This window comes from Homo sapiens, chromosome 10 (genome assembly GCF_000001405.40).
Source record: "Homo sapiens chromosome 10, GRCh38.p14 Primary Assembly".
NCBI classification, from domain to species: Eukaryota; Metazoa; Chordata; class Mammalia; order Primates; family Hominidae; genus Homo; species Homo sapiens.
Window position 1 is genome coordinate 22435425 of NC_000010.11, and position 27765 is coordinate 22463189.

The 27765-nt window shown below is 43.4% G+C and overlaps 2 long non-coding RNA genes across 2 annotated transcripts, besides 6 other annotated features; one reads left to right on the forward strand and one right to left on the reverse strand.

Annotated features, from left to right (window-relative positions):
- Window positions 1–2505, reverse strand: LINC03027 (long intergenic non-protein coding RNA 3027). Its single transcript, NR_036533.1, has one exon. It is a non-coding gene; the product is annotated as a long intergenic non-protein coding RNA 3027 (long non-coding RNA).
- Window positions 1253–1432: a silencer, noted in NCBI's record as "silent region_2210". NCBI's record gives its function as "represses an Ori minimal core promoter by ATAC-STARR-seq in GM12878 lymphoblastoid cells {active_cell/tissue: GM12878}" and the evidence as "EXISTENCE:reporter gene assay evidence [ECO:0000049][PMID:35858748]".
- On the forward strand, window positions 1651–27199 carry LOC105376449 (uncharacterized). Its single transcript, XR_001747392.2, has 4 exons — window positions 1651–1727; window positions 13301–13565; window positions 18742–18800; window positions 27161–27199. It is a non-coding gene; the product is annotated as an uncharacterized LOC105376449 (long non-coding RNA).
- Window positions 1903–1952: an enhancer, noted in NCBI's record as "active region_3132". NCBI's record gives its function as "activates an Ori minimal core promoter by ATAC-STARR-seq in GM12878 lymphoblastoid cells {active_cell/tissue: GM12878}" and the evidence as "EXISTENCE:reporter gene assay evidence [ECO:0000049][PMID:35858748]".
- Window positions 1903–2419: a biological region, named in NCBI's record as "H3K4me1 hESC enhancer GRCh37_chr10:22726272-22726772".
- Window positions 1919–2419: an enhancer, noted in NCBI's record as "H3K4me1 hESC enhancer chr10:22726272-22726772 (GRCh37/hg19 assembly coordinates)". NCBI's record gives its function as "activates a minimal SCP1, AML or CMV promoter by ChIP-STARR-seq in primed H9 embryonic stem cells {active_cell/tissue: H9 hESC(primed)}" and the evidence as "EXISTENCE:reporter gene assay evidence [ECO:0000049][PMID:30033119]".
- Window positions 2253–2412: an enhancer, noted in NCBI's record as "active region_3133". NCBI's record gives its function as "activates an Ori minimal core promoter by ATAC-STARR-seq in GM12878 lymphoblastoid cells {active_cell/tissue: GM12878}" and the evidence as "EXISTENCE:reporter gene assay evidence [ECO:0000049][PMID:35858748]".
- Window positions 2420–2920: an enhancer, noted in NCBI's record as "H3K4me1 hESC enhancer chr10:22726773-22727273 (GRCh37/hg19 assembly coordinates)". NCBI's record gives its function as "activates a minimal SCP1, AML or CMV promoter by ChIP-STARR-seq in primed H9 embryonic stem cells {active_cell/tissue: H9 hESC(primed)}" and the evidence as "EXISTENCE:reporter gene assay evidence [ECO:0000049][PMID:30033119]".
- Window positions 27200–27765: the final 566 nt, after the last annotated feature.

The following is a 27765-nucleotide window of genomic DNA, read 5'->3' on the forward strand; positions in this document are numbered from 1 at the left end:
CCAAGTTTAAGTGCGAAGATTTTATTAGGCGGTACAATTCCAAGGTGGTAAGGGTGAAAGGAAAGGCGAAGGCAGGCAAATACATTATTGAGCTGAAAACAACTTTACATTCAAGGACAGCTTCCAGACAAGCCATGTAGAACCAGCATGCCTTGGGACTGTGTGGATGGCAGGGAGACGAGTTTCTATGCTGACCACTTCATGCTTTCTGCCCCCTTTGGGGAAAGTATGCCTCACGGACCTCTAACTCTCCCACTTCTCTGGGGGCAGCACCTGACCCCTCCCGGCAACTGCTAGGCAAGAGCATTCTGTTCCTTCAAATTTCTCACCTGAGTCTGAGTCAGAGCATCCCATCATCAGAGCCTCTGTCAGGGAGGCAGTGCTGAAGCATGACCTTCACCTGGGGGAGGCTGTCGGGAGATGGCACTGGAGGCCAGGCCTCTACCCTAAGCGAGAGGTGCAGGCCGGGGTGGAGGTGGACGGTGGGACAGAGTAAATCCGGGGAAGCACATCAACCGGGTCTGGTAGGGCATAGCCTTCTTGGACCTGAGCCATTCCTACTGCTGATGTCCACTGCTTCTCAATCGAGAAACAGCACGGATTCAGCTCTCAGATTTTGTAAACTGTGATTTTCTCCCTTATTCCTCAACAACCACCTAGCCACGACCTTCTTTAACTCTTCCCCCAACCCCGAAACTTTTGAGGAAATGACTTTTCTTATAATTTGAATGTTAATAAACCGTACCCATTTAGAAACTACAGTTTGATGATTTGGGGCGACTGTATACGTCATGTTGCCGCCGCTCCTATTAAGATATGAAATTGTCCCACCACTGCCCCAAAGTTCCCCCGCTCCTGTGCATTCCATTCTGTCCTGTTCCACTCCTTTCCCAGGCAACTGCTTTGCATCGCCACTGTTGCTTCTTCTAGAATGTCCTATAAATGGACATCAGACCGACTATGGCTTTTTGGGTTCTTCCCCCCACAGCATCGTGTTTTTCAGCTCCACCCACGTGGTTTTGGGTATTAATCCTATGGTAGAACTAGCTAGATGCTGGAGAACTCATTATGCGCCGGTAGGTAATTTTAACCTGCATCGTCTCATCTCTATTCTGTCACAATAGAGGAAACTGAGGCACGCCCGGCGTGTGGGCGTGTGAGGGGGCACCGGGCCGACTTCCGCCCGTCAGTAGGCCTGGACCTGCTGGCACCCGCTGTCAAGATAGGGCCTGGCGTCGCGGCGAGGCATCAGCTCGGGCAGAAGCACAGCCCAGGAAGTGGGCGCGTCGCAAGCTCCACACCCAACCAAACCCGGGCAGAGGGCTCGGTGGGCGCGAGGCCGAGGGCCCAAGAGGCCGGGGCCGCTACCCCCTCGCCCCTGGGACGGCCTCCGGGTCTCCTTGCTCCAGCAGACAGGCCCGCGGCGGCTACTCCGAGGCGCAGGGGCAAGGCCGCAGCGGGCAGCGGAGGCCGAAACAGAGAACACACACAACGCGGACCGACAGCAGTCACCGCAGGGGTCGCCGGGGCGCGGCTCTATAAAGCCTCGGCTCTATAAAGCCGCGCTAAGCCGCATCGCGCTGCACGTTTCCTTCCGCGCGGGGCCGGCGCTACTTCCCGCCTTACCAGGCCGCCGTGCCGGGAGGAGCTGAGACGTCTGCAAGGCCGCAACATCTCGCAGCAGCTTTTCGCCTGCTTCCTCCGCTCGCTCTAGAGGGCACAGCAAGGTGCGGGGCTCAACCTGCCGCTTCCCCAAGACGGAGGTGGCCGCCACGCTCCCGCCCGCTGTAAACGTCCGAGCGGGAAGAGCGGCCTCTGGTTTCTGTGGTATCGGCTTCTGGTTTCTGTGGTATCCGGAGACTTCGTTTCCCGGCGCGAGGGAAACAAAGATGCTGGCGTGGAGCGGCCTGCCCGCCGCTATTGTCTGGCTGCCTGACAGGGAGCGGCCGCTTTCGCTTTCTTCTGCCGAATGGAACGTGGTGACTCGGGAGCCGCGGAGCGCCTTTCGAGGCAGCTTTGTCTGCGGAAAGGGAGCGCTGCGGACGGCCTGTCGGAATGGTCACCGCCCGCTTTCCGCGGGAGGCGCGCCGGGCACCGCTGGGCGATTTCTCCGCCTCAGCGAAAGAAAGGAGAAGCCGGCATTTGTGGCCGCCCAGTCTTCGTTCCGATTTGAGCCCTGGCGTCGGCGGGAGGTGACAGTGCTGTCCGCGCGCACCCCCTCCGTCGCCGTCAGGGTCGTGCTCCTTAGGTTTCCTGCGGTTTTTCTGCTGCTCTGAGACGGTCTCTGGGACCAAGTTCTCACAGCATCGTCTTCTCCTCTCGCAAATAATCTTTTTATGATGTTTGTTCTGCTGAATCCACCGGACGCCTCAGACACGGGCCCTGACGGCATCGCCGGCCTGGGGGAGGCGTGGAGAGAGGGGAGGAAGGCGGGAGGGCTGTGGGGCTGCTAGCTGATTTGGGGATCCCATCATCTTCGAATTTTTATGCAGAGCCCATGGAAGCGCCTGGTCAGAGAAGCGGGAGGAAACCGAACCTAAGAAAGGGGCTTGGAGTCAGCAGTGAAGAATCTATTGTTTATTTTAGTTTTGTTTTTAGATTCAGGAGGTAGAAGTGCAGCTTTGTTGCTTCCAGGTATTGCAGAGTGGTGAAGTCTGGGCTTTCAGTGCTGCCCCCACCCAAATAGTGTCCTTTGGACCCATTAGGTAATTTCTCATCCCTCAGAGTGACTACTATTTAAAAGGCAGCTATTGTTAGAGCTGGCAAGCTGCAAGGGCAAAACAAAACAAAACAAAAAACAAAACAGGGTTGGGGGGAGCATAGAATATTTTTTTTTTTTGACAGCAGCGTAGTAAAGTTTGGATTTAGAGCTTTTTGTTACTGCCCATCTCCCATACTCCTGTTTTATTTCTCTTTGTAGCATTTATAACCTCCTGGTATGATAACGCATTTTACACGTTTATTGGCTTCTCTGCCCACTTGATTTTTATCTCCTTTTGGAGAGCAGGGAATTTTTTGTTCCCTGGAGCCTAGCAGGGTACCTAGCAGTGTTCTGGGGGCTTTGTAAATACTTGCTGAATCAGTGGAAAAAAAAGAAACAGGGCACATTATCTAAAGTTATTGTGAGACAAACATAAAACCAAAAGGCGAATGATGCAAGGAGAAGTTATCTCTGAACCTGCTCTTTGTGTTTTGGAGCAGTAATACATTAGGAATAGCTAAGAAGGGGTCACGCCAGCATTCCATTTTCCAAATAAGAAAGTGAAACAAGTGAGCTCTCACTTCTAGGATGCCTTCCACTTCATTAGAGGGATTGGTTCTCTGAGGTCAGCCCATCAAAAATGTATGAAGAAAATGGAAGCCATTTATTACTGTTCATCTGTTACCCTCAGACATATTCTCATTTCCAGCAGCAGGGAGTTAGGGTGGCATGCCTCGTGAGCAAAACATGGGGCTTGGGGACATTCAGAACACCTACAAGATGGTGGTGTACACAGTGCTTGGAGGCATATCTGGGGAGTGTTTCAGCTGAAAATTGGCCACATCCTCCTATTTATTACACGTTTCAAAAATGGCCCCACAGGTTGCACATTTATAAGTGGTGGATTTGTTTTGAGGGAAGTGAGCGGGAGTACACTTTATTTTGGAGTGAAGAGGATCGGAGTAGCCACCTCCTCTAAGAAACTACTCCAGTCTCAATCTCCATTCCTTTGGAACTTTTCGTTAGGAAAAGGCCACATCTTGGCAGGGAAAGTTTATAACACCTGTGTCAGTACTGCTGGAAAGCTCTAAATAAAAAAGTTAAAAATTTAGTGTATTCCTCAATCACCCAGTAATTATCGCATCCTGGTACACAAAACTGGAGGTATCCTTGGAGGTCATTTATTCAACAAGTACACTGTATTTGTTGAGCATTTTTCATGTGCCAGGCATTGTTCTAGATGCTGTAGATACAGCAGTGAACAAAACACAAAAGTCCCCTCTTTCATATTATTCCACTCCCAGGGCCCTTTCATCCTTTCACTACATCTTTCTTCTTATTTTTACATTTGCCACAACCACCTTCTTTGCTAGTTGGTTCCCTTTATTCACCAATTTTTTAAAAACTCATTTCTTCAGTCCCTCAACTCATCTGAGATATGAACATGTCAAAAATATATGATGAAATACAATTTAAAAGTCAGATCCTTTTAAAAAAAACTTTTAACCAGAATGAATCCATTTCTAAAAGTTTATTTTTTATGCCTGTAATATTTAAAAAGCCTAAAAATGATCTTGCTGGTTTTCTTCAGTTGAGTGTTGTGTAAGTGAAAATTACTTCACAAATCCTACTATTAGCTATTATAATCAAATCAGCTTTCACTCTTCCATGAGACTGTTTCCTTCACAAGACTTTGGTTGACCATAACCAATTTTATAGTAATATACAACAAAAAATAATGTGGAGAATAGCAAAATTAAACATATTTTTTTAAAAAATAGAGGTGTTCTTTCCCAGGATTTTTTTTAAGAGTAAATAATGTTAGCTTATGGGATTGTAGTGCACAGCACAGCCCCATAAGGAATATTCAAGCCTAATTTATCTCAGTTGTATTATCTCTGACTCTCTTTCACCGGTTTTCTCTAAACTTATTTCCTGTTACTCAGCCTAAAATGCTCACTGCCTCAAATGTTCCCTGAAGACTATGGCTTAATTATAATTCTTCCCCTTCCACATTTCACATTTAAATGTATCTTATTTCAGACTTGTTTAAACATTCTTCTGAACTATCCTTACTTCCCTGCCTATCCTCTTCATCCTAAACCGAGGAAGCATGCTGAGCTCCTCCCTTCTGTCCCCCAAGTTGCTCAAGCCTAGGAGTCAAAGCCAGATTACCTAAAATGCTAGTGATACTCAATGCTGGTAGACATACTAGAATCACTTAGGAGACTTTAAAAATACTGGTTTCCTGGCCTACCCCTGACCAAATAAATTAGAATCTACGGCATTGGAGTCCCAGCACTGATAATTTTATAAGGCTTCCCAGGAGATTCTAATGAACAGCCAGTTTGATAAACTGCAACAGGCAGCCCAAGTATCTGTCCTCGGCAGTAATTGTCAAACTTAAGTGTTTCAGAATCACCTGAAAGGCTTGTTAAAACACAGATTGCTAGACCCTACCCGCTGAGTTAATGATTCAGTAGATTTGGGGTAGAGCCCCCATATTAGCATTTCAAACAAGTTCACAGGTGATGCTGATGCTGCTGGTTCAGGGATCATTTTTTGAGATTCTCTGTTCCAAGACACCAACAGAAACAAAGACATGCAAGAAAAAAATGAGAGAAAAAAATTAGAAAGATTTTGATATTTCAAACAAAGCTTTGAAGTAATTATCAAGGTGCGAATTAGAAACGAGCTTCTTTACCTTTATGGTTTAGTGTGATTTTTACGTTTAAAATTGTATTTGGGAAAAGAGGACTACCATAATTCCTTTATTGTTAGGGGTAGTTTCTAGAAGTCTTAGGCCCTGTGCATTTTTTTTTCATATAAACCTCACCTTTCACCCTTCCATGAGAATGTTTCATCCAGATTTTGCCTGACCATAACGAGTCTTACAGTAGCCCACAACAAAACGTTTGTGGAGAACAGCAACATAAAACACACACACACACACACACACATAGAGAGAGCAAGAGAGAGAGTGGAAGAGAGAGATCTCACTTCCAGCAAAAGCCCATAAGGCAGAAATAGTGTTTATCTTGTTTTCTTGGTGATAGGCAAACCTTACCTTGCATGTTCAAGCCTGTGACAGAGAACTTGACACACGGAGGGCACGCAAATATCATTGCAGAAAACTTGTCCGAGTTGTGGAAATAAAGAGTACTTTGCTTTTGACTGACTTTCTCATCTGTTTTTGCAGTTTATGCTCTCTCCACCAGCTCATGAGATTACATGAAGAAAGTCAGGTGTAGGAAGCTTTCAAACTTGCCCAGAACCTTACAGCTCATTAGGTATAAAATGAGGGTTCTTGGCTCCCACACTCTATTTTTCTCTAGAACATGCTGTAATTCAAATGCCAGAACACTGGATCTGAAGGGAAGAGAGAAAAGATTTGATACTCTTTAACCCTGTAAAGTGAAATGGAAGAAAAACACACTGCAGTTTTCAAGTTCATGAAACAGAGTTACAAGAATTCAGATGCAATTTATGACACCCGAGGGAGGAAGAATATGAAAAGGAAAGAGAGAGAAGTAGAAAAAATTTCAGGGAAAACACCTGTATAGTTAGCTAATAGTCTTAGGGCCCGAAAGAGATTCTGTTGGACCTTAAGGAAGACAGGGCAGAAGACTCATCATTTTAGTTTTGGTTGTTACAAGCCACCCAAAAATTTAGTGGCTTAAACCAAGAGCATTTTATTCACTCACAATTCTTTGGGTTAGGAATACAGGCGGGGGTCAGGGAGGATGGCTCTTTTCTGCTCCACGTGGTCTTGATTAGGGGTATCTTAAGGGGCTGGAGGATCCAAGTTGGCCTAATCCACAAGTCTGGAACTTGGTCCTCCTCCATGTACCTCCCTCTCACTCCACATGGTCTTCAGTAATTCAGTAGTCTACCTCAGGCATTTTTACATGGCAGTGGTTTACCAAGGGGTAGAAGTAATCACACAGCATTACTTTCATTGTATTCTGTTGGTCAAAGCAAGTCAGAGGGCCATTCTGGATTCAAGGAGCTGGAAAACAGATTCTACTCTTGATGGGAGGATGGTACAGGCACATTACAAAAAGAATGTGGTTAGGCTGAGTGAAAGAAGCCAGACACAAAAGAGCATATATATTATGCTAGTTATATGAAATTCTAGATAAGGCAAACTAATCTATAGTGACAGAAAGCAGATCACTGGTGGCCTGAGGCTAGAGGATGGGGATTGCCAGCAAAAGGGCATGAGGGAGCTTTTTGGCATGATGGAAGTGTTTTGTACCTTGATTGTGGCAGTATACATACAAGTGTATACATTTGTCAAAATGTATGCATTTTATTGTAGCTTTTAGGTAAAGTGTACCTTTAAAAAAAGGTACAAAATAGGAGGTAGGAAGGATTCTCATGACCACCATCAGAAATGATCTATCACATATAAAAAGTTAGATCTGAAGGGACCTTAAATGATCCTGTGATCCAATGTCTTCATTATATAGATAAGGAAAGTGAGGATCAGAAAGCAGACCTTGCCAAAGGATACTAGTTGGTGATAAAAGCAGGACTGGAATCCAGACTCCTGACCACAGTCTTCCTGTCACTCCTTCCACATCCTCAACAGGATCAGGGAAAAGGATGCCCTGGTCTGTGTCCCACTGAAACACATAGAATTTCCAGGGGTCAGTACAAACAGTCAAGAACAGAGATTTCTGTGCTCTGTTCCTAGTTCTGAGAGACTATGGACACGTTCCTGTAACTATTCCATGAGTCAGTGTCTATAATAAAGGTGAATGGAACAATGTTTAGAAATAGAAAACCATGGGAAAACAAGAGCACCTATGCCACACATCTTGGCTGGCAGTGCCATCTTCGGTGTCCTAGGAGTGTGTTGATGGGAAAAGACAAGGAGGGTTATGGAATGATTGAAATGTTATTATTTACTTAGGTTTTACTAAATTAATAAACCCACCTTTCAGGCATGTAAGGTGAGAATTATTGCTAGCTTTTGTAATGTGCTCTATAGAGTAAGATGGAGTTGAAATAATAAATAGTATAGCAACCCATAGTAAAATGCAAATGTTAGTATTTAGGGAATTTGAAAAAGTGAATACAGTTTACTCTCTTTTTAGTGTACTTTCTTCACTCAGAAAAAATGACTTTGAGCCTTGTCCAAAGTCTCAGACATTTATCAGATGTATTTAATTCCTCTGGATGCCGAAGATGCTTTTTAAAAAATGTCTACAACAGATGTTAAAATGCTGTCAGCTGAATGATTCGCTGCTGGGACATCAGAGAGTAATACCCTGCTGATCTGTGGCAATTACCTAGGTAGGGAACAATGGACTTGAACTTTGGATGGAATCTGAACTTTTTTCTAACACAAAGTCATATTTGAAAAGTGAATGATTCAGCAGGGAAAGTTTTTTTCAAGAGAACATTGATGCATTTCTGAAGATTGGGTTTTTCTTCATTTTGGTTTTGGTTGTTGTTACTTCCTCATTTTTCTAATACCTGTATCTTAAAACGATTATATAATAAGCATTTTATTAAATGAGGGCTGGGACGCTGATTTGCATCTAAGAGTTGTGGCTTTTGTCTCATAGTTGCAGGCTGGGAGGAGTCTGCTCCTTCACAAACATGAAATACAGTTGCAGAATAATAACTCTACTGCCAAGTGGAAAGTGGTGAAATTATGGAAATAATTCAGGCCGAAAATATCTACTCTTGTTTGGATAACCCCAGCTGGTTAGTGCTTTGGTACCGAATGGATTCCCCTTGCTTTAAGTTGGGTTAAAAAGGGAAAAACAACCTGGAATGTAAAGAAGTCAGCTTAGGGCTCCCTTAGAGTTTAACCTCAGCAATCCTATAAAATTTAGCTTAGTCTGGGCCCAAATATTTCAGTTAAAGACCTTTAAAAAAGCGATATTTCCACTCTCGGGGCTGCCATTTTTTGAAATATCTGGACTACGCAACATGTGGTATTATTCATTACCCATGCAGACTTTTTACCTGGGTAAATGCACATTTTGCCAGTTTTTGTTTTTCAGTCAACATTGGCAATCATGTACAGGTGACCAGTACTACCTTAGGAACTCAGGAGCCCAGCATGAAATGAGACTCATGACAGAGATGAACCAAAATTTCTAGGTCTCCTACATCCCTGCCTGGCTGGCTGCCACTTCCCCACCATCACTGCTATTCCTGTGGGACTAACGGTTTTAGTCACCTCCTATTTACCACATTGGTGAGGAAGGGATTCTCACCCTAAGGTTATGCCATTGGCCAGACACACAGCACCTGACACTGGACACTTGAGATTGACAGCAGCTTATTAGTCACATGTACTCATAGCCAGGGGGAGAAGGATACGGCACACAAGAGTGAATGAAGATTGTCCTCAGGAACTGAATGAATAAGCAGGGGCTTGGGAGGCAGGCTTTGTGGTAACAAGAGGGTGGGGTGCCCCCTGCTTCCTATAGGATGATGTGATTGGCTTGTTTCAATTCCATGGGCTGGCAGGGAACTGAAACCCAATACTCAGGGATAAGCGGGAACACCACCTGGTCCACTTGATGAGGAGGGTAGCTTGGCTAGGGGACCTTATCTGCTGGAACGGAGAGGGAAGAAGGCTTTCATTTGAGGCAGGCCCTCTTGATTTTCCCCAGATGACAAGTAATACTGCTCCTTACTTTTAGGCCTGACACCACAATAGCAAAGTTAGGACATTATTTCTTGACTACCATCTACTATGCCCTCTTATAACTGGGAGGGAAAAAAAGAGGTGGAGTGTGGCAAAGGATGCAGGCCAAATGCTTCTAGTAAATACTTTCAATTTGTCAAAAAGCAAATGTATACAGAATATCTTTATATGCCATCACTAGAGTAGGCACAGGGACTTAGAGAGGAGTGGACCACAATCTTATTTGGAAGGAGTCACATGGAGGAGATGGGAGGACACAAGTAGATGATTATAATACAGAGTGATGCATGTGGGAACTGAGAGATTTGCACATGTGCTGTGAGAGCACGGTGATGGGAGCGTTTATCCAGCAAGGTGAAAAGTCACAGGGATAGTGGACAGTGGCCCCTGAGCTGGCCTTGAAGGATGAGTTGTAGTTTGCCAACTGGAGAAGGAGAGAAATGGGAGCATCATCTCACGGAGCAGCCAGTAGTTGGGAGCATTGTTCCAGAAGGGCTGTTCCAGGACCTTTCTACTTCTCTCACTGCCCCCGCCCCCACCACCCTGCGTTTCCCTTTGGTCCTTCTTTTTCCCCCAGGCATCTTCTCATATTTGCAGAATCAGATTCTTTCCTTATATTGTTCAGGGTCATTGCTGTTGGGGATGGAGGTGATGGGAGCAGGAGCAGGGAAAATGAGAGGAGTATGCCAAGGGGGCTGAGGAAATAACAAGAATGAACTTTGCTCACCTGACCATCTTACCAAAGGCTGCTTTTGAGTGCATGTGTAAAACATGCCAGTCACTGGATATGCCAAAGACCCCAGTCCTGGAACAGGCCAGCTGGGCTCTGTCTGAAGCTCTGTTATGGAGTGCTCAGATTCCCTGACCACTCATCTGCTGTCATTCTCTGCTGCTCTTGGAATCCGCTCCATACACTGCTTCTCCTCCCCTTGGACGAGATGATCAACTCTTTCTAAAAGCCTTAAACTTCTCTAGAGACTGAGGAGGCAGGAACTAAAGAATTTAAGATCTTTTTATCCAGTTCAGGGGCACTGTCATCAATGTTTCTACTTAGATCGTTGAGCTGTGTTTATTTTCTTACAAGATGTTCTGCCTTCACAGTGCTGATCCCTTGGACTGGAAATTGCCTGCACTTCCTCTCTTCCTATGTTCTCATCTGGAAAACTCCTACCCATTATTTTTCAAAGCCTAATTCAAAATCACTTCATCAGTGAAGGCTCCCTTAACTCCAGGCAAGCTAGTTTCTGCCTCTCAGGGCTATTTTAGCAGCTATTTTAAACTTCAACTCCAAACACAATGATTATAATTCTGTTTGCATGCATTTCCTTCACTCATAGCTAAGCTTCTGAGGCATTTTTGTTTTCATAGCAACCCACAGTAACAGACACATAGTAGGTATTCAGTAAAAGTTGAATGAATGAAAGGAGATAAAAGCCAAAGAAAAAACCCTTAAAAATCTTACATATGTATAAAGCTTCCAACTATCAATTTGCAGAAAATAGAGTGCAGAGAAAGATGTAAAACATCACCCCAAAATGCAATCAGCAAAACCCGAAGAGGGGAAACTCTTTAGGACAAACAACCCAGTTTTCTGAAAAATAAATTACAAAGAGGGAAAAAAAGAGAGAGATGGAAGATGGCCTATAATTAAAAAGAGACTTAGAAGACATAACAATCAGTTGCAAAGCATGTACTATATTTGGATCTGGTTTTTAAGAAAGTAAATTATGACATTATGAGACAATGAGAAATTTAAACATTGACTGGATATTTGATAACATGAAAGACTTAGTTATTTTAAGCATGATGATGATGATGTTATACTTATTTTGACAAGAGAGTAGCCATTATATTTTAGTGTTAAGTAATGAAACATTTACAGGTGAAATGATATAATATCTGGATTTTGCTTCAAAATAATGAGGGAGGGAGGAAATGGACAAGAGTGTGAATGAGGCAAGGTTGGCCTTGGGATTGGTAGTTGTTGCAGCTGAGTGATCGGCATACAAAGAGTCACTATATAAATATTGTTATGTATGCTTGAAATTTTTATTGTGTTGTTTAAAAACAAAAATAATCATTTTCTGATAGTATTTTAATAACAGTTAAAATGATTACTCCTCACCTCAATGTGAAAAAGTTTTTAAGTTTAATGTATGGTTATATGCAATTTTTAAAATGTATTTATATATATGCTAAAATATTCCCCAAAGGGACATCATTTAGAAAAAAACAAGTAAATCCATTTAGGAACATGTGTTTTTCAAAGTGATGTCTACATAATAACCTATCAATTAGCAAGCTACTTTATTTTAATATTATTACTCATTGCAGGCAGTTCTTAGGTGCAAAGCAAATTTGGAGAAACGGTTTCTAAGCACCATCACCAACAATGTCAGCAATAAGTAGATTTTGAAGTTTGTTCACTTCCACAAAGTCCAAAGTTCTGTAAGTTAAACAGTGGGTTTCCAAGGGTGCTTATCAGTGTGGTTTAACAAGGTATGGTGATACTGACATGGGCAGTGCTTTTGGAAAAAAAAAAAAAAAAAGCTTCGCTGAATCATTTTACACAACATGGGTTACTTAGAAAGAATATTAAATGTTTTATCATTTGTATCTTCAATTTAACATTGCCTTTGTTTTTTATGATAAATATTTTCCAAAACCTAAAGATTGTGTGTCAAAACTTGTGTTTCTTTTTTGGACTCGCCCAGTGGAGTCTGAGGATGCGGGCTCAGTACCCTGCCTCCCCTGACCCACCCCCAAGAGTATGGATGTTCTGAATCCATTGATCCTTGTAACTGATGGTGGTCATTAAATGAGTGTTTAGTTGAAATAGCAGTATCATATGTAAAAGTTTTAAGTTTTTAGATTAATTAAAAATATTTCCTAGTTCTAAATATATCTGAGTTTTTCAGGCGTATGTCTATGTGTGTGTTGCTGTATAACTGGGAAGCAGGTGTAGAAGGTTAAGACCCAAGCTTTATTGAATGGCTACTCTGTCAGCTAATGTGCTAAGTGCTTTTCAGGTGTTGCTTCATTTAACCCACCTGATACACAGTCACGAAGAATTTTACTATTTCCATTTTGCACGAAATAGTGAAGAAGGGCTCAGAGAAAATAAGACACTTGCCCAAGGTCACACAGCTTGTAAGCAGGGGGAGCAGGGAGTTGGATGCCTATTACCCTGGTTTATACTCTTTCCCTCCTTGTACTCTGATTAATCGTTTTCTCTTCAAGACTGTGAACACCCCACTCCCTTCTTTTTTTAAGAGGTGGGGCCTTGCTTTGTCACTCAGGCTGGAGTGCAGTGGCACCAGCACAGCTCACTGCTGCCTCAAATTCCTAGGCTCAAGCGATCCTCCCACCTCAGCCTCCCAAAGAGCTGGTACTACAGGTGTGTGCCACCACACCCAGCTAATTTTTTAAAAATTTTTTGTAGAGATTGGGTTTTTCCATCTTGTCCAGGCTGGTCTTGAACTCCTGGGCTCAAGAGATCTTTCTGCCTCAGCCTTCCCAAGTGCTGGGATCATAGATGCGAGCCTGTGTGAGCCCCTTAAGAGCAGCCTTCTATTAATCTTTGGGGACTTCACAACTCCTTAACTAAAGTGGATATTTAATAAATGTTTGTTAGAAAATCTCAGCAAATCATCCAAGTGTCAGCTCAGGACAGGAGTTGAAAGCTCTTTGCCAACATATTTTAAACTCACCTTTGGGACTGACCATCTATGATTATTGAGTAATCATTTAAGAAAAATGTTTGAGAACACATTTGCAGGCTTCAAACTACACAAAGAAACGGGAGAAAAGGAATGATGCCAAAGACTGGGGTCAAGGTTGAAAAAAATGAGATTTAAATTTGGAAAATGATAAATTAACCAGAAAAGTTTATGCATTTTGGGTTTTACTCTGTGGTCTTGCTGCAGAACAAGTGGAGAAACTAACAACCCGTGGAAGAAAATTCCTAGAATCCTGGGATCAAGTCAAAACACCTGATGGTTTTAGAGGACAGAATTTTTGGAGAGAAAAACACAACCAGATGACTCTCTGCACCCCTTTCCCAGGCCATGGGCACCTGCCTGATTCCTATGGTCATGAAGGAACATTTTTCTGATGTGGCCATATTCATGGTGTCAGTGCAATCTCATCAGAGATGAGGCTCCCCACTCAAGCTGCCATGTGACTTGACAGGTGAGACGTTAAATAATAGCTAATAATATTATCTACCATTTGTTGCATGCCCAATATATGCCAGGGGACTAATAAGTATTTTACATAAGTTATCTAATCCTCCCAGAACCAAATGAAGAAACTGAGGCTTAGAGAAGATGGGATTTTTCAGCTAAAAGATCTTTCTCTTGAACTCTAAAGCCCAGGCATGTTCTGGCAGGGATAATGGTAGCTGAGGGTGACTAGTAGTGTTAGGAAGGTGAATTTGTGTTTAACAAGCCCCCTTGACGAAAGTTTGTAAGCATTTAGAGTGTTTCTGAGGAGCCATGCTCTAGAAATATCTAGAGACAACTAAGAAGGTGACAGGCCAAGGAGTTGGAGGATTGCTGGCCCAAGACCCCCAAGGACCTCTTTAGCAGAAACTCAGCATTTAGAAGCCAGGGTAAAAAGCCAAAGGTAAACTAACTTTAAGATGTCTGAATTTTCAATAAAGGAAACACTTCCAGGGAGGTGTTGAGTAGATGAGATCATTGGGAATTTGCCCCATTGTTTCTGGTACCTGCTTCTGTGTCTCTGGACTTTGTAGCACCTCCTGGCCTCGGTTCCTCCCTGTTCTAGTTTGACATGCCCAGCCTGGCTGCCAGAGTCACCCCTCCAAAGCATTGAGGTTACTGTAAGCTCTTTGAGGGCAAAGGCTTGGTTCCTGACAAGATTCCAATATGAGAGCTGCTCAGTAAATATATATGAACTGTTCCAGGGATCACCAAGTTCCTATTGTCAAGAGAGCACCCTGGGCAAGAAACAGGGCCATGTTCCTTCCTGGTATTTTTTTTCCCACTGCCTAAGGAGCTCAGCCATGGAACTTGGAAAAGCTGTGGAGACAGTAGCTCTGCAGTCATGCCCGTCAGGTCCTTTTCTCACTTCTACTGCAGACTGAAAGACCTGTCCTGTCCTGAGGACAGGCTTAGCATTTTCCAGTATCATGATTTGTAATGTCTATTTTTTATTTTCTTAAAATGTTCGGTGAAAGAGTGTCTACAATGAAAAAGGTATATAATATCAAAGGTTGGTGAGGATGTGGAGCAACTGGAATGACTACACTCAGCTGATAGGAGGGAAAAGTAGTAAAACCACTTTGGAAAACTGGGAGAATCTGCTAAAACTAAACATGTATATACCCCAAGGCCCAGCAATTCCAGGTGTATAGCCAACGGACCGATGTACACATGTACTAGAATGTTCATAGCAACACTATTCCTATTAACCACAAACTGGAAACAATAAGTTCATCTATAGCAGAATGAATAAACTGTGGCATATTTATATGTGGGATACTACACAGTAATGACATGAAAAAACTACAGCTACATGCAATAATATACATGGATCTTACAAGGCTGAGCAAAGAATCCAGACACAAGAGAGTCCATAGTGTATGATTCTACTTACATAAAATCAAGATGTTTGTATTAAGATATAAAAAACAATTTTTAAAGGTAAATTAATCTATGGTGTTAGAAATCAGGATCAAAATTATGTGGGAGCAGTGACTAGGCATTACGGGATTCTGGGGTGCTGGTAATGCTCTGCTTTTTGATAAAGTTATTCGTTACATGGATTTGTCACTTTGTGAAAATTCATCAAGCTGTGTATTTATGATTGGTTCACTTTTCTATATGTATGTTATACTTCAATACAATTTACAAAAGATACACAGTGAGGTCTTTGGAACCTGTTTGTTAAAAGAAGTCTTTAAAATCATGAGTTGCAGGCCAGACACAGTGGTTCATGCCTGTAATCCCAGTACTTTCGGAGGCCAAGGCAGGCAGATCACTTGAGCCCAGGAGTTCAAGACCAGCCTGGGCAACATGGTGAATCCCCATCTCTACAAAAAAAAACACAAAAAATTGGCCAGGCATGGTAGCACACACCTGTAGTCCCAGCTACTTGGAAGGCTGAGGTGGGAGAATCATCTGAGCCCAGGAGGTTGAGGCTGCAGTGAGCCATGTTTGCACGACTGTACTCCAGCCTGGGCAACAGAGTAAGACCCTGTGTCAAAAAGTAAAAAATAAATAAATAAATAAATATCACGAGTTGACTTCTACATCATTTCTTTACTAGTAGAAATAAATTCTGAAATCTTGTAGCATACAAACATTTGCCTTATGTGTTATTAAATATAACTAGTCTCAACATTTTTCTGTAAAATGATAGTTGTCTATTTAGAAGGAAGCCCATCTGCTAGCATCTTTATAATAAGTATTTAGTGAGAAGCATGTGAGGTTGTTTCATACAATTAGCCTGAAACTAATTGTATAGTGTGTCTGCTTCCTTAGAACAAAATTGGTTGCTACTTCGTTAAGCAATAGTAAGTAGGTCAATTTCTGAAGGCCAGTAACGATCATTTCTAATTCATCAGATTGCTAATAAAATAAAATTGGGTGTCTCAGTTGGGCTGCAGTAACAGAATGCCATAGACTGGGTGGCTTACAAACAGCAGAAATTGACTTCTCACAGTTCTGGAGGCTGGACGTCCACGATCAGGGTGCCCGCATGGTTGGGTTCTGGTGAAAGCCTCTCCCAGGTTGCAGGTGGCCATTTTCTTACCGTATTTTTACATAGTAGAGAGTAGAGAGCGCTCTCCTGTCCCTTTTATGAGGGCGCTAATCCCATTCATAAGGGCTTCACCCTCATGACCTAATTTCTCCTAAGAGTCCCACCACCTAATATCATCACCTTGGGGCTTAGGATTTCAACATATGAATGTGGGGTTGGGAACACAGGCATTTAGTTCATAACAATAGGGAATCGAAAAATTTCTGGCATCACAGTGAAGTTATACTACAAAGGTTCTTAAAACCACAAGTAAACTGATATCAAAAGTGTTCCCCACCACAGTGGGCCTAGGAATCTACATTCATCCCAATGTAAGGTGTGTCACAGAGGCTCAAAGGGGGCCGTGCTATAATGCAAAGGGGGGATCAACAATGCTTTAAATTCAGACTCTGTTGGTAGTGGTTGCATGTTTATAATCAATATGGGTATAAGTATTAAGTGAACAGTGGCCAAATGCTATGGTAATTTAAAAGACACAGATATCCTGTTGGGCCTAGTGGCTCGTGCTTATAATCCCAGCACTTTGGGAGGCCAAGGTGGGAGGCTCGCTTCAGCCTATGGGTTTGAGACCAGCCTGGGCAATACGGCAAGACCCCGTCTTTACAAAAAATAAAAACAAAAATAATAAAGTATGTTTAAAAAACACAGATATCACTCAAATATAACCCACTAAAATGCTCCTCCTTCCCCACCAAGTTGAAGGGTAAATCTGTTTTCAGGAGCTGATTTATTTCTTTCCACCTCTCCTAGGATATTTTGTTGAGTGGAGAAGTCAACTTAAAACTCAAGGCCCCAAGCCAGTTTTCCCAAAATGAGTCCCCATTTAGCCCAATGTCTCAACAAGAACCCTCAGCATGTTCCTTCTTCCACAGGGCCCTCATGTAATAGTCCTGGCAGTAGTAGTGGTACTAAATATAACAGCTAACATTTATCTAACACCTTCTATGTATTAGGAACTGTTTTAGTGTTTTCTATATATATGAAACCATTTAATCCTCCCAACAACCCAGTAAGGCAAATATTAAACTACCATCCTCATTATTCCATTTTGTAGAGAAAACGGAGGCCCAGAGAGGTGAGGGGGTTTGTCTGAGGCTATACAGCTGGTAAGGGAAGGAGTCAGCCTTCAGGGTAATAATTCTTGACTTTGATTGCACTTTGGTATTTTTGTTTGTTTTTGAGACAGGGTCTCCCTTTGTCAGCCAGACTGGAGTGCAGTGGTGCAATCATGGCTCACAGCAGCTTCAACTTCCTGGGCTCAAGTGATCCTCTCTCAGACTCCCAAGTAGCTGGGACCACAGGCACACACCACCATGCCTGGCTACTTAAAAAAAATTTTTTGTGGCCGGGCGCGGTGGCTCACGCCTGTAATCCCAGCACTTTGGGAGGCCGAGGTGGGAGGATCACGAGGTCAGGAGATCGAGACCATCCTGGCTAACACAGTGAAACCCCGCCTCTACTAAAAATACAAAAAATTAGTCAGCCGTGGTGGCGGACGCCTGTAGTCCCAGCTACTCGGGAGGCTGAAGCGGAAGAATGGCGTGAACCCCGGAGGCGGAGCCTGCAGTAAGCCCAGATGGCGCCACTGCACTCCAGGCTGGGCGACAGAGCGAGACTCCGTCTCAAAAAAATAAAAAAAATAAAAAATAAAAAATTTGTCTAAAGACAGGGTCTTCTTATGTTGCCCAGGTTGGTCTCAAACTCCTGGGCTCAAGCAATCCTCCCACCTCGCCTCCCAAAGTGTTGGGATTACAGGCGTGCGCCACTGTGCCCAGCTGATTGTACTTTGAATGCCTGGGTCTCACCCGCTAATCACCCAACGCCCATTCCAGATTCTAATTTAATTGGCCAGGGATTTTTAAATGCTCCTTGGGTGATTCTAATGAGCTGCCAGAGTGGGCGCCACTGGTCTGGGGCCTGGCTTTGTAGCATCCTACTACGCAGCCCATGAGAAGCGATTGAGCAGAAGCTACACCTGGGTTCGTATGACTTTTCCCTCATTGGGAACAACTGGTTAAAGGAACAGTCAATGGCAGGAGAAGTTTTGTGGATAAAATAATAACAGCTGGATGGTTATTTAGCTAGCCACATGGTCTTAGGCCAGTGACTCAGTTTCTTCATCTGCAAAACAAAGGGTTTGAAATAAGAAATGATCTCTTGGTTCTTTCCAGTGCTATGAGTCTATGAAATCAATATATGAAACCCTGGATCATCCAGGAGTGGATGATCCACAGAAAATGTCTAATCTGAGTACCAGTGTCCTTCAGCCACCCTTCTCATTCATTGGTGTGTGCTCAAAGAATGCACATCAGTTTTATTTTTGGCCTAAGCAGAACACAAATAGGAAGGAAGAAATCATGTGTGTACATGTGAAAATCATTCAAAAGATAAATTAAATGATTTGGAGGGATTATCTGCTGTTTGGGATTACCCACATCACTGCCCCCTCCAATAGCGTTGATAATTGAAAGATGCCTGTAGGCTGATTGCTGACAGCTGAAGGATCCATGTTGCCAAGGAACCTATGGCTGAGTGCCAAGGAATGACCTGATTAATTATCCTTTTCTTTGTACCATCCCAGCTCTTCATACCGTTCGCTCACCAGAGTGGTGTCCAGTTTCAGGAGCACGGAAGAAAACAGTAAGTCCCCAAAAGTGAACAGTCCCTATTTCTTGAGGCAGAAAATAACAGTGGAGACCTTTTCATCCCCTCTCGGGTCCTATGCTGGCTGCTCGGCTTGGTGACTAAACTTCAGACCATAATGAAATCAAAGACAGTCTGTCTGGTCACACTGGCTTTCCACGTAGAAGGTTTTGGCAAAATGCTCTCTCTTCTTCAATCGGATGCATACAGAGGTTGTAATGTGCAAGACTCCAGCATGAGAAGGGCAGGCTACTATGGCCAAGAGGCTAAACCTTATTCCCGGTGGCTTTTTACTGTCTGGGCTTAAACGACTCATTATCCTCAGCATTTTACTTTCACTGTGGAGTGTCATATAGAATTCTTCTTCTTTTTTTTAATCATGAACCGGCATGCTAGGTGAGAAGTATCTTTATTTCAGGGGAATTTGGGAAAAAGTTTGCACAGATTCTATGCACTGGTTACATAGCTAAAACCAGGTTACATAACTGTTTAAATTTGGTATAAGCCAGCTATCTGTACATCCTTAAGCAGTGTAGGCAAGCTGGCCCCAGGGGCTAGCCCCAGAAGTTTCAAGCTTTAAACAGCACATTGCAAATTCCAAATTAGCACTCCCATCCTTATCTTGACCAAGAGTCTGTACTCCACTTATAGATAAGCATAGAGCTTTCTCAGTTCAGCCGTAAGATAATCTTGTCTTATACATACTGTAATACAAAAGATGAGGGAATGATCCTTCCTTCCTGAATTCATTCCCTCTAACTCACAGTTTATTTCATAGACATGTAGAATTCTGAGTCTTTTCTAAAACTAGTTCTTAAATGATTGGCTTTTACAGGGGTATTCAATAGCTATTGAATTGATGGCACTAGACTGGTTATTTTTATCTTTTTTTTTTTTTTTATTTTTAGAGACAGGATGTTGTTCTGTCACTCAGGCTGGAGTGCAGTGATGCAATCATAGATCACTGCGGCCTTGAACTCCTGGGCTCAAGGAATCCACCTGCTTCAGCCTTCTATGTAGCTAGAACTACAGGTATCCACCACCAACCTCAGCCCTGGGTTCTACTGGATGTGCCGGCCAGGGGCCACCTCTACTTCTGCTGGGGCCTCCCAATGCTGGCCCTCCACAGGTGGCCTCCGGAAACAACCCTCAGAAAGAAGGATGGTTCCACTCATACCAGAACCTTTTTTGTCATCTTTGCATTTTATACAGGCAGTCAGACCTCAGGCGTGTGCTCCATCAGAGGCCTGACCTCTCCTCAGTGGCTGTGATTATTGCCTGGAGAACCAGCCAGATTTTACGTAAATTTCAAACAAATCTTTTAAGAGTAGGGTCCTATCCTGGAGGCAGCTGGAGGGAGAAAAAGATCCCTCTTAGAACTCGGCCTTTGAAGTGAATTCCTTCAGCAATCTTGCTCTGAGCTTTTCCTGAATACAGCTGTAAATTGATTTGGGGTTTTTCCTAATGGGCTGAAAAACATAGCTTTCCTGTGTTGGGTGGTTCAGTGAAGCCACTATTTTACAACCACCCGGAGTTCCTTGAAAAGCCACCCTCCATGAGATCATTACAGATACATCCTGAGCTCAATAAAAAAGAAGTTGAGCCTGTGTTTCTATTGGTAGACTAGGCGGGTTCGCGGATACTTGGACACTGATTTGGGCATAGATTTGTGCTTACGCCATATAAACAGATTAATCTGGTATCTAAGCCATATAGATACTGGATTTCACTCTCCATCCATGTCTATAGGTATACTTTATTAGCTTGTTAATGCCTTTCTTTCAGAGAACAATTTATTTAGCCTTTAGAGAAGACAGTGATTTTAAAAAATGTAGCTTTATTAAAGAACCGTAGCCTAATCTAAAATGGTTTCACTGGTCTGCACATACCACAGGTTTACTGCGGTATAAAATACCAAATTCTCTTTATGTGTTCCCTAAATTACTTTATAACTTTATCTTTTGCCCTAATAATACTTGTCACAAAATATGGAGACCTACTCAATTTTACTAGTCATTGAAGGAATGTAAACTGAAACTAGAAGATAATGATTTTTTCACCCATCAAATAGTCAAGGAAATGGATATTGTCACTTCTGGCTGGTGTGACATCTAGGAACATATCCTGACACAGAATTATTCTTAAATAGGAAGAAGGGTATTAAGTACAAAATTACTTGCATTACTCTATAATAATCAAAATTATTCAACAAAGTCTAAATATCTGATTATAAGGGAATGGTTGAATGACTTACCATTTTGTAACTAACAGTGGCTCTGATGAACACATTGAAAAGGTTTCTGATATACAGCTAGGAGAAGAGCAGGACATGACACAGGGTACAGACTACAACAGCAACTATAGTATTTTTTTTTAATGTGCGTATAAAATGTGTTTCTAGTGACAGCCCCACTCCCTCCTTCAGTGGCTGTTCAGTGCCTTAAGACATCTGAGGCAATTCCCAGCTGTGCCCCCTCCACGTCTGCACTGCTCTGCTTCTATCAGGCTGGCCTGCTCTCCAGTGCATCCTGCCTCTGGCCTTTGAACTGCTGCTTTCCTGCCCTGATGATGCTTCTCTCCTCTTCAACCTCCTCATCTCAGGTTTTTTTATTTTTTGAAGACAGGGTCTGGCTCTGTCACCCAGGCTGGAGTGCAGTGGCACAATCACAGCTCACTGCAGCCTTGCACTCCTGGGATCAAGCGATAACCCCACACCGCAGCCTCCTGAGTAGCTGGGACTACAGGAGCATGCCACCATGCCCAGCAATATTTTTTTGTTTTTTATAGAGACAGGGCCTTGCTATGTTGCCCAGGCTGATCTCAAAATCCTGGGCTCAACCTATCCTCCTGCCTCAGCCTCCCAAAGTGCTGGGATTATAAGTGTGAGCCACCATGCCCAGAAAACAACAACAATAACTTTCATTGTATCTTTATTTTTTTTTTCTATGATTACTCTGAAAACACTGTTTGATGAGCCTTAGAAATCAATACCACTTTAAAACTACAGAAGAGTGGGTAGTCTGGAGAGACTATTTCACAATTGGGCCAAGGTGATGACTATTGTCAATTTTGTGCTCTTAGGCCTCATTAGTCTCATTCTGAGGATGCTTTATTCTTCCCTGAATTGATCGTATTAATAAATAAAGCATGTGGAGGGAGGAATCTCTCCTAAAAGAGGAGATCACTCATCCTTGAAAGTATATAGGATTTTTTTTTAAGTGTCTGCCTGGGGAAAATGCTGTGGCGGCATTAATAGACAACAGCATTTTAATTATGAATCTAATATATTTGTATCACAAAACCTGGCAATTTCAACGATAAAGTACTATGATTACACAAAGCATTTTTAGAAATAATAAACCTCTGCTGAATATGCTTACAAACCACATTAAGATTCCATTTCAGCTCTCCTTTGTAATATCAAATCATATGGGTAGGTTGGCTGTTTTAAAATGTATTAAATGTAAATTGATTTTGTATTGTCAGAAATAATATTTAGAGACATTCTGCCGTCTCTGTCACGACCCTTGCCTGATTCCTGCTCCATGTGTTTCTAATCCCGGAAGATTTATACAGCTTTTAAATTTTCATTATGTGTTCTCCTGCCTGCCTGATAGACACTTGCTGTACTTTGCCTGCCACCAATGTTGGACTTGTCTAATGTGAGCCAGGATCCAGTCTGGGGACAAACACTGAGCACCAAGTTTGGGCGAAGCTTTGGCGAGGGGAATGATCCCAAATGTAGGCTCAGGAGGCAGCTGCATCACTTCCAAGTTTTTCTCACAAGGTTGCTGGCTCCGCTAATACCAAGGCAGCAAACTCTCATCTAAGCCACAAACATAACATTGGTGTGTCACGCAATGTGAGTTAAGATTTGTCAAACACACCTTTATTCCATATTTGGCTGGATCATGAAGCACTCATTGCAAAGTTCCCTAGGGCCCGCAGCAAGGGACGTGGGTAGCTGTAACTCTGGTTTGTTCGTGAAGTACATTAGTGAGCATAATAAAGTAATCACATGCCTCCTATGGGTTTTTGTCTTGTTAAGTATGTGAAATCTGCTCCAGATAAATATTTTTTTTAAATGAAAGCACGTGAGATGTTAGAGGAGAATGCAAGATCTTAAATGATCAATTACGTGGCACAGAAAACACATGTAAAGAAGGACGGGGGAGGCCAGGCACAGTGGCTCACGCCTATAATCCCAGCACTTTGGGAGGCTGAGGTGGGAGAATCACTTGAGCCAGGAGTTCGAGACCAGACTGGGCAACATAGTGAGACCCCGTCTCTACAAAAAGTTTTAAAAATTAACTGGGTGTGGTGGTGCGTGCCTATAGTCCCAGCTACTCAGGAGGCTGAGGTGAGAGGATTGCTTGAGCCCAGGCATTGGAGGCTGCAGTGAGCCACTATACTTCAGCTGGGTGACAGAGCGAGACCCTGTCTGAAAAAAAGAAAAAAAAAAGGTTTTTTTAAAAATTTATTTTATTTTATTTTTTAAGGTTTCAGTATGAACAGACTAGCTAACCCTGTGCTCTATGGTTTAGAGAGGGATAAGGAGTGAGGATCTCCATCTGCCACCTGCAGGGCTCTGGAGAAGGACAGGATTCCCACGCATTTGTTGTAACTAGCTGGGCATAGGAAAGCTGGACTTATAGGCAACAGTACCACAGGGTGGTCCTGTGTAGGAAGGGCTGGGGAAAGAGCCAGGGAATATTCCTCCTTGTGTCTCTGTCCTTTACAAACTAGGTGGTCAAAAATCTCAAAAGAGTTTTGGGTGATGCTTCTCTTGGAAAGCAACAGCATATTTTACCAATGAAAACAAGTGCTTGCCCCGGTGCCTGCAGCCTAAAAGAGACCAGACTTTTGGGCCGCAGGAATATCAGGCATTCGACCCTAAAGGTGAAACTGTGCCCAAAGGGTTAAAGAAGTTGGTAACAGGAATTCTTGAGCCTGTCTTACAGGATGGCATATAAGGAAGCAGCTTGTAAAAATCCCCTCCACTTGTAACAAAACTGGCCAACGGGGCGGTTGCAGTGGCTCAGGCCTTTAATCCCAGCACTTTGGGAAGCCAAGGCAGGAGGATTGCTTGAGCCTAGAAGTTTGAGACCAGCCTGGGCAACATAGCAAGACCTCATCTCTACAAAAACAAACAAATGAAAAGCCAGGCATGGTGGCCCATGCTTTAGTCCCAGCTATTTGGGAGGCTGACGTGGGAAGATTACTTGAGCCCAGAAATTCAAGGCTGCAGTGAGCTGTGATCTCACCACTGCACTCCAGACTCTAGCTTGGGTGACAGAACAAGAACTTGTCTCAAACAAACAAGCACAACAACAAAAAACAAAAGAAAAAAAAAACTAGCCAAACTGGCTGAAACTAATTGCAACCAGTATGGCTGGCTACAGTCTGTGAAGAATGGTCTTACTTTGCCAGATGGGCGACCTTTTGATGTCACAGTCTGAATTCATACCATATGGTTCATACCAATTCCCCCCAAATTTGCACATACAACCACAAAGAAGCACAAAGAGACAACCGCACCCACTTAAGGGATTTTCCAAACTTCCCCTCCCCTTCCTCCAATCATTCACCAACCCCAAAACCCCTCCCCCAGAATTTCTCCTTTACATATACTGCTTTGAGACCAGTACAAGGAGATGGATTTGAGCCCATCTCTTGTCTCTTTGCACAGCCACCTCGCTATAAACCTTTCTCTCTACAAAAATCTGGTGCTTTGGTGTTTGGCTTTTCCTTGCGCATGGGCAAATGGACTCAGTGCAATTAGGTGACAAGGGCTCATAATATCCTCACATTCCCATGTATACTGTTTTGCTACCTTTGGTTTGATTTTCATGAAAATTTATACTGGTAAAATGGAATTGACTAGAGCAGAGGCATCCAGCCTTTTGCCACCAAGAAGTCTTTATTATTCCTAATCCCCATCAAGGGAAAAAGGAAGTTATGACTAATTGGTTTTCCACTTTTGTTAGACACTCAGAGCATCTAACCAGCAGGACCGGCAAGTACTGCCCCCAAAGAGCTGATGTACTTCTAGCCACATGCCAAGGCTCATGGCATTTTAATTAGACACGGCAACCCTTACAGCAGGCCCAGCTCTGATTGTTGTTAGAATTTTTGAAATATTTAAAATTGTCTGAGGGTTCCTTTTACTGTCAGTGAAGACTCTTGGCCAGCCGGGCACGTGTGCTCTCGGGCAGAACAGAATCTGGGAGGAAGAACGGCTGGAGCTGGCCGATGTTGAAGTGGTGGGTCAGACAGCAGCGTTGGGCCCAGGACTTTATACACTTCCTATAAGAAGCGCTAGAGCTGGAAAATGGGAACTCCTGAAGTGCTGAGCCGATCTGTTTCCAGGAGTGGGGGGAGTTGTTGAAGAGATGGAATGGGAACCAGTTAACCTAGCTAGGAGCTCCAGGGACATAAAGATAAAAATAAAACAAAACAAAATACAACTCCTCCCCCAAACCACAATGATATATCTCTTAAAAGCTATCCCAAAAGCTTAAAGCACACACACACACACACACACACACACGGAGAAAATATAATCAAGTGTTGCTTTCAGACCATGGGTGACAGATACATATTTATTTAAAGAGGGGAAAGACCGTGTCAACAGGGGAAGTCAGCCCTATTGAGAAGGTGCTATGTGCCAGGCATTGTGTAGGAGCTTTATAGGGTTGAAGGTTCTTATAAAAGCCTGGTGCTTGTCACTCATGATATTCTCTTGCCTTGTCCCAGTGGACTCATAGCTAAATCCCAACATGAAGGGGACAGTAGTAGGAACAGCAGTAACATAACATTGACTACAACAAAGACAACAATAACAATATTTACTGAGTGCTTAACAAAGATCAGACGCTGTGGCAAGCGTTTTACATGGATCAGTTAGTTAAGTCCTGAGGATATCCCTAGTCCTGAGGTACTATTATGATCATCCCCATTTTATAGCTGGAAAAACTGAGGCTCAATGACTGGCCCTAGGTCACATAGCTAAAGGAAAGAGTATCTAAAATCTAAATCCCAAGTCTGTCTGACTTCAGATCCCTTGCTTATAATAGAGTAGACTGTCTTCCATTAAATAGGAGGGAATAAAAACTAAGAGCTGCTTCCTTAACATTTCCATGGAACATGGGAGTCAAAAACAGCACTCTTGGTGGCCATGAAGACAGAGGCATTATTATTACTATTTTTTTAGAGACAGGGTCTCACTCTGTCGCCCAGGCTGGAGCGCGGTGGTGCAATCACATCTCACTGTAGCCTCCAATTCCTGGGCTCAAGTGATCCTCCTGCCTCAACCTCCACAGTAGTTGGGAATACAGGCACACATCACCATTCCAAACTAATTATTATTATTATTATTTTTGAGATGGAGTCTCACTCTGTGGCCCAGGCTGGAGTGCAGTGGCTCGATCTTGGCTCACTGCAACCTCTGCCTCCTGGGTTCAAGCAATTCTCCGCTTCAGCCTCAGAGTAGCTGGAACTACAGGCGCCTGCCATTATGCCCAACTAATTTTTGTATTTTTAGTAGAGACGGGGTTTTGCCATGATGGCCAGGCTGCTCTCGAACACCTGACCTCAAGTGATCTGCCCACCTCAGCCTCCCAAAGTGTTGGGATTACAGGCATGAGCCACCATTCCCAGTTGAGACATCCTATATACAGAGCCTTAGTAAACCCCGAGTGACTGAGGCAGGCCCTGCAGCTCCTTGCTCCCCCAACTCCATGGCCACACATGACACCCTGCTGTGAGTTGGGCAGAAGAGGAAGAAAATTACACAATGGCATGAGAACCAAGAGAGACAACTTCCACTCTTCACATTAGCCAAACACTTCCCCTGAAGTCCTGGGAGTCTTTGGGAGGAATCTGGGAATCTGAGAAAGGACTGGGAGTTACTGCCAGTGAGTCATACTGTGTACTGAGAAATATGAAATCGTGATTATTGATGAGATGCTATTTCTACTCACAAATGAGTGGGCTGGGAAATACTGCTTACATTTACAGTGAATGAATAGCTGTCTGTTTGGCTGATGGGTCTTGTATCTTTTCCACATTGATGTGGGTATTTTCTGAGTTGGAGTTGAAGGTTCTTTTCCGCAAAGACTTCACTTGCTTCTTTGTAAAGAATTTTGCAAAGTGTTGCATGAATGTCAACTTTTTATCTGTTTTTTATGATGATGGCAAACATTACTAAGGGATAGGGTCTTCTTTTTAAAGCTTTTTAATTCCTGGGGCCTCTCTCCTTAACAAATCCTTGGTATCTGTACTTTTCCTAAAAATGAGGAAGATGCTCCTCTGCCTTTTTCTTTTTGTTTGAGACAGGGTCTTGCTTTATCCCCCAGGTCGGAGTGCAGTGGCACAATCATAGCTCACTGCAGCCTTCAACTCCTAGGCTCAAGTGATCCTCCTGCCTCAGTCGCCTGAGTCGCTGGAACTACAGGTGCGTGCCACCACACCAGGCTAATTTTTTCTTTTTTGTAGAGATTGGGGTCTTGCTATGTTGCCTAGGCTGGTCTTGAACTCCCGGCCTCAAGTGGTCCTCCCCCCTTCGCCTCCCAGAGTGCTGGGATTATAGGCATGAGCCACTGCACCTGTCCTCCACTGCCATTTTAAAAGTTGATTGATTATGTTCACAATCTGTTAGTTCCTTTGTCTAATATTGACACATCTTAGTTTTAGTGGGTTTGAGCCCCATCTAGGCCATTTGGCTGTTCTGCCATCAGGTAGATTGCTTTACGACCTGAAGTGATTGTTACAGACTACCAAAGTAACCAGAAGGAGGCCACAAGACAGATGGGCCTTCAAAGGCTCTGACTGCATCACCCTGTTCTAGACCTTACAGTGGCTCCCCATGGCTCTGGATCCACCTGAGATTCCATTCCACACTCTCATTCCTCTTCCCACCACCGCCCCACAGGCTCCTTGCTGTGTGCTGCTCTTCGTGCCT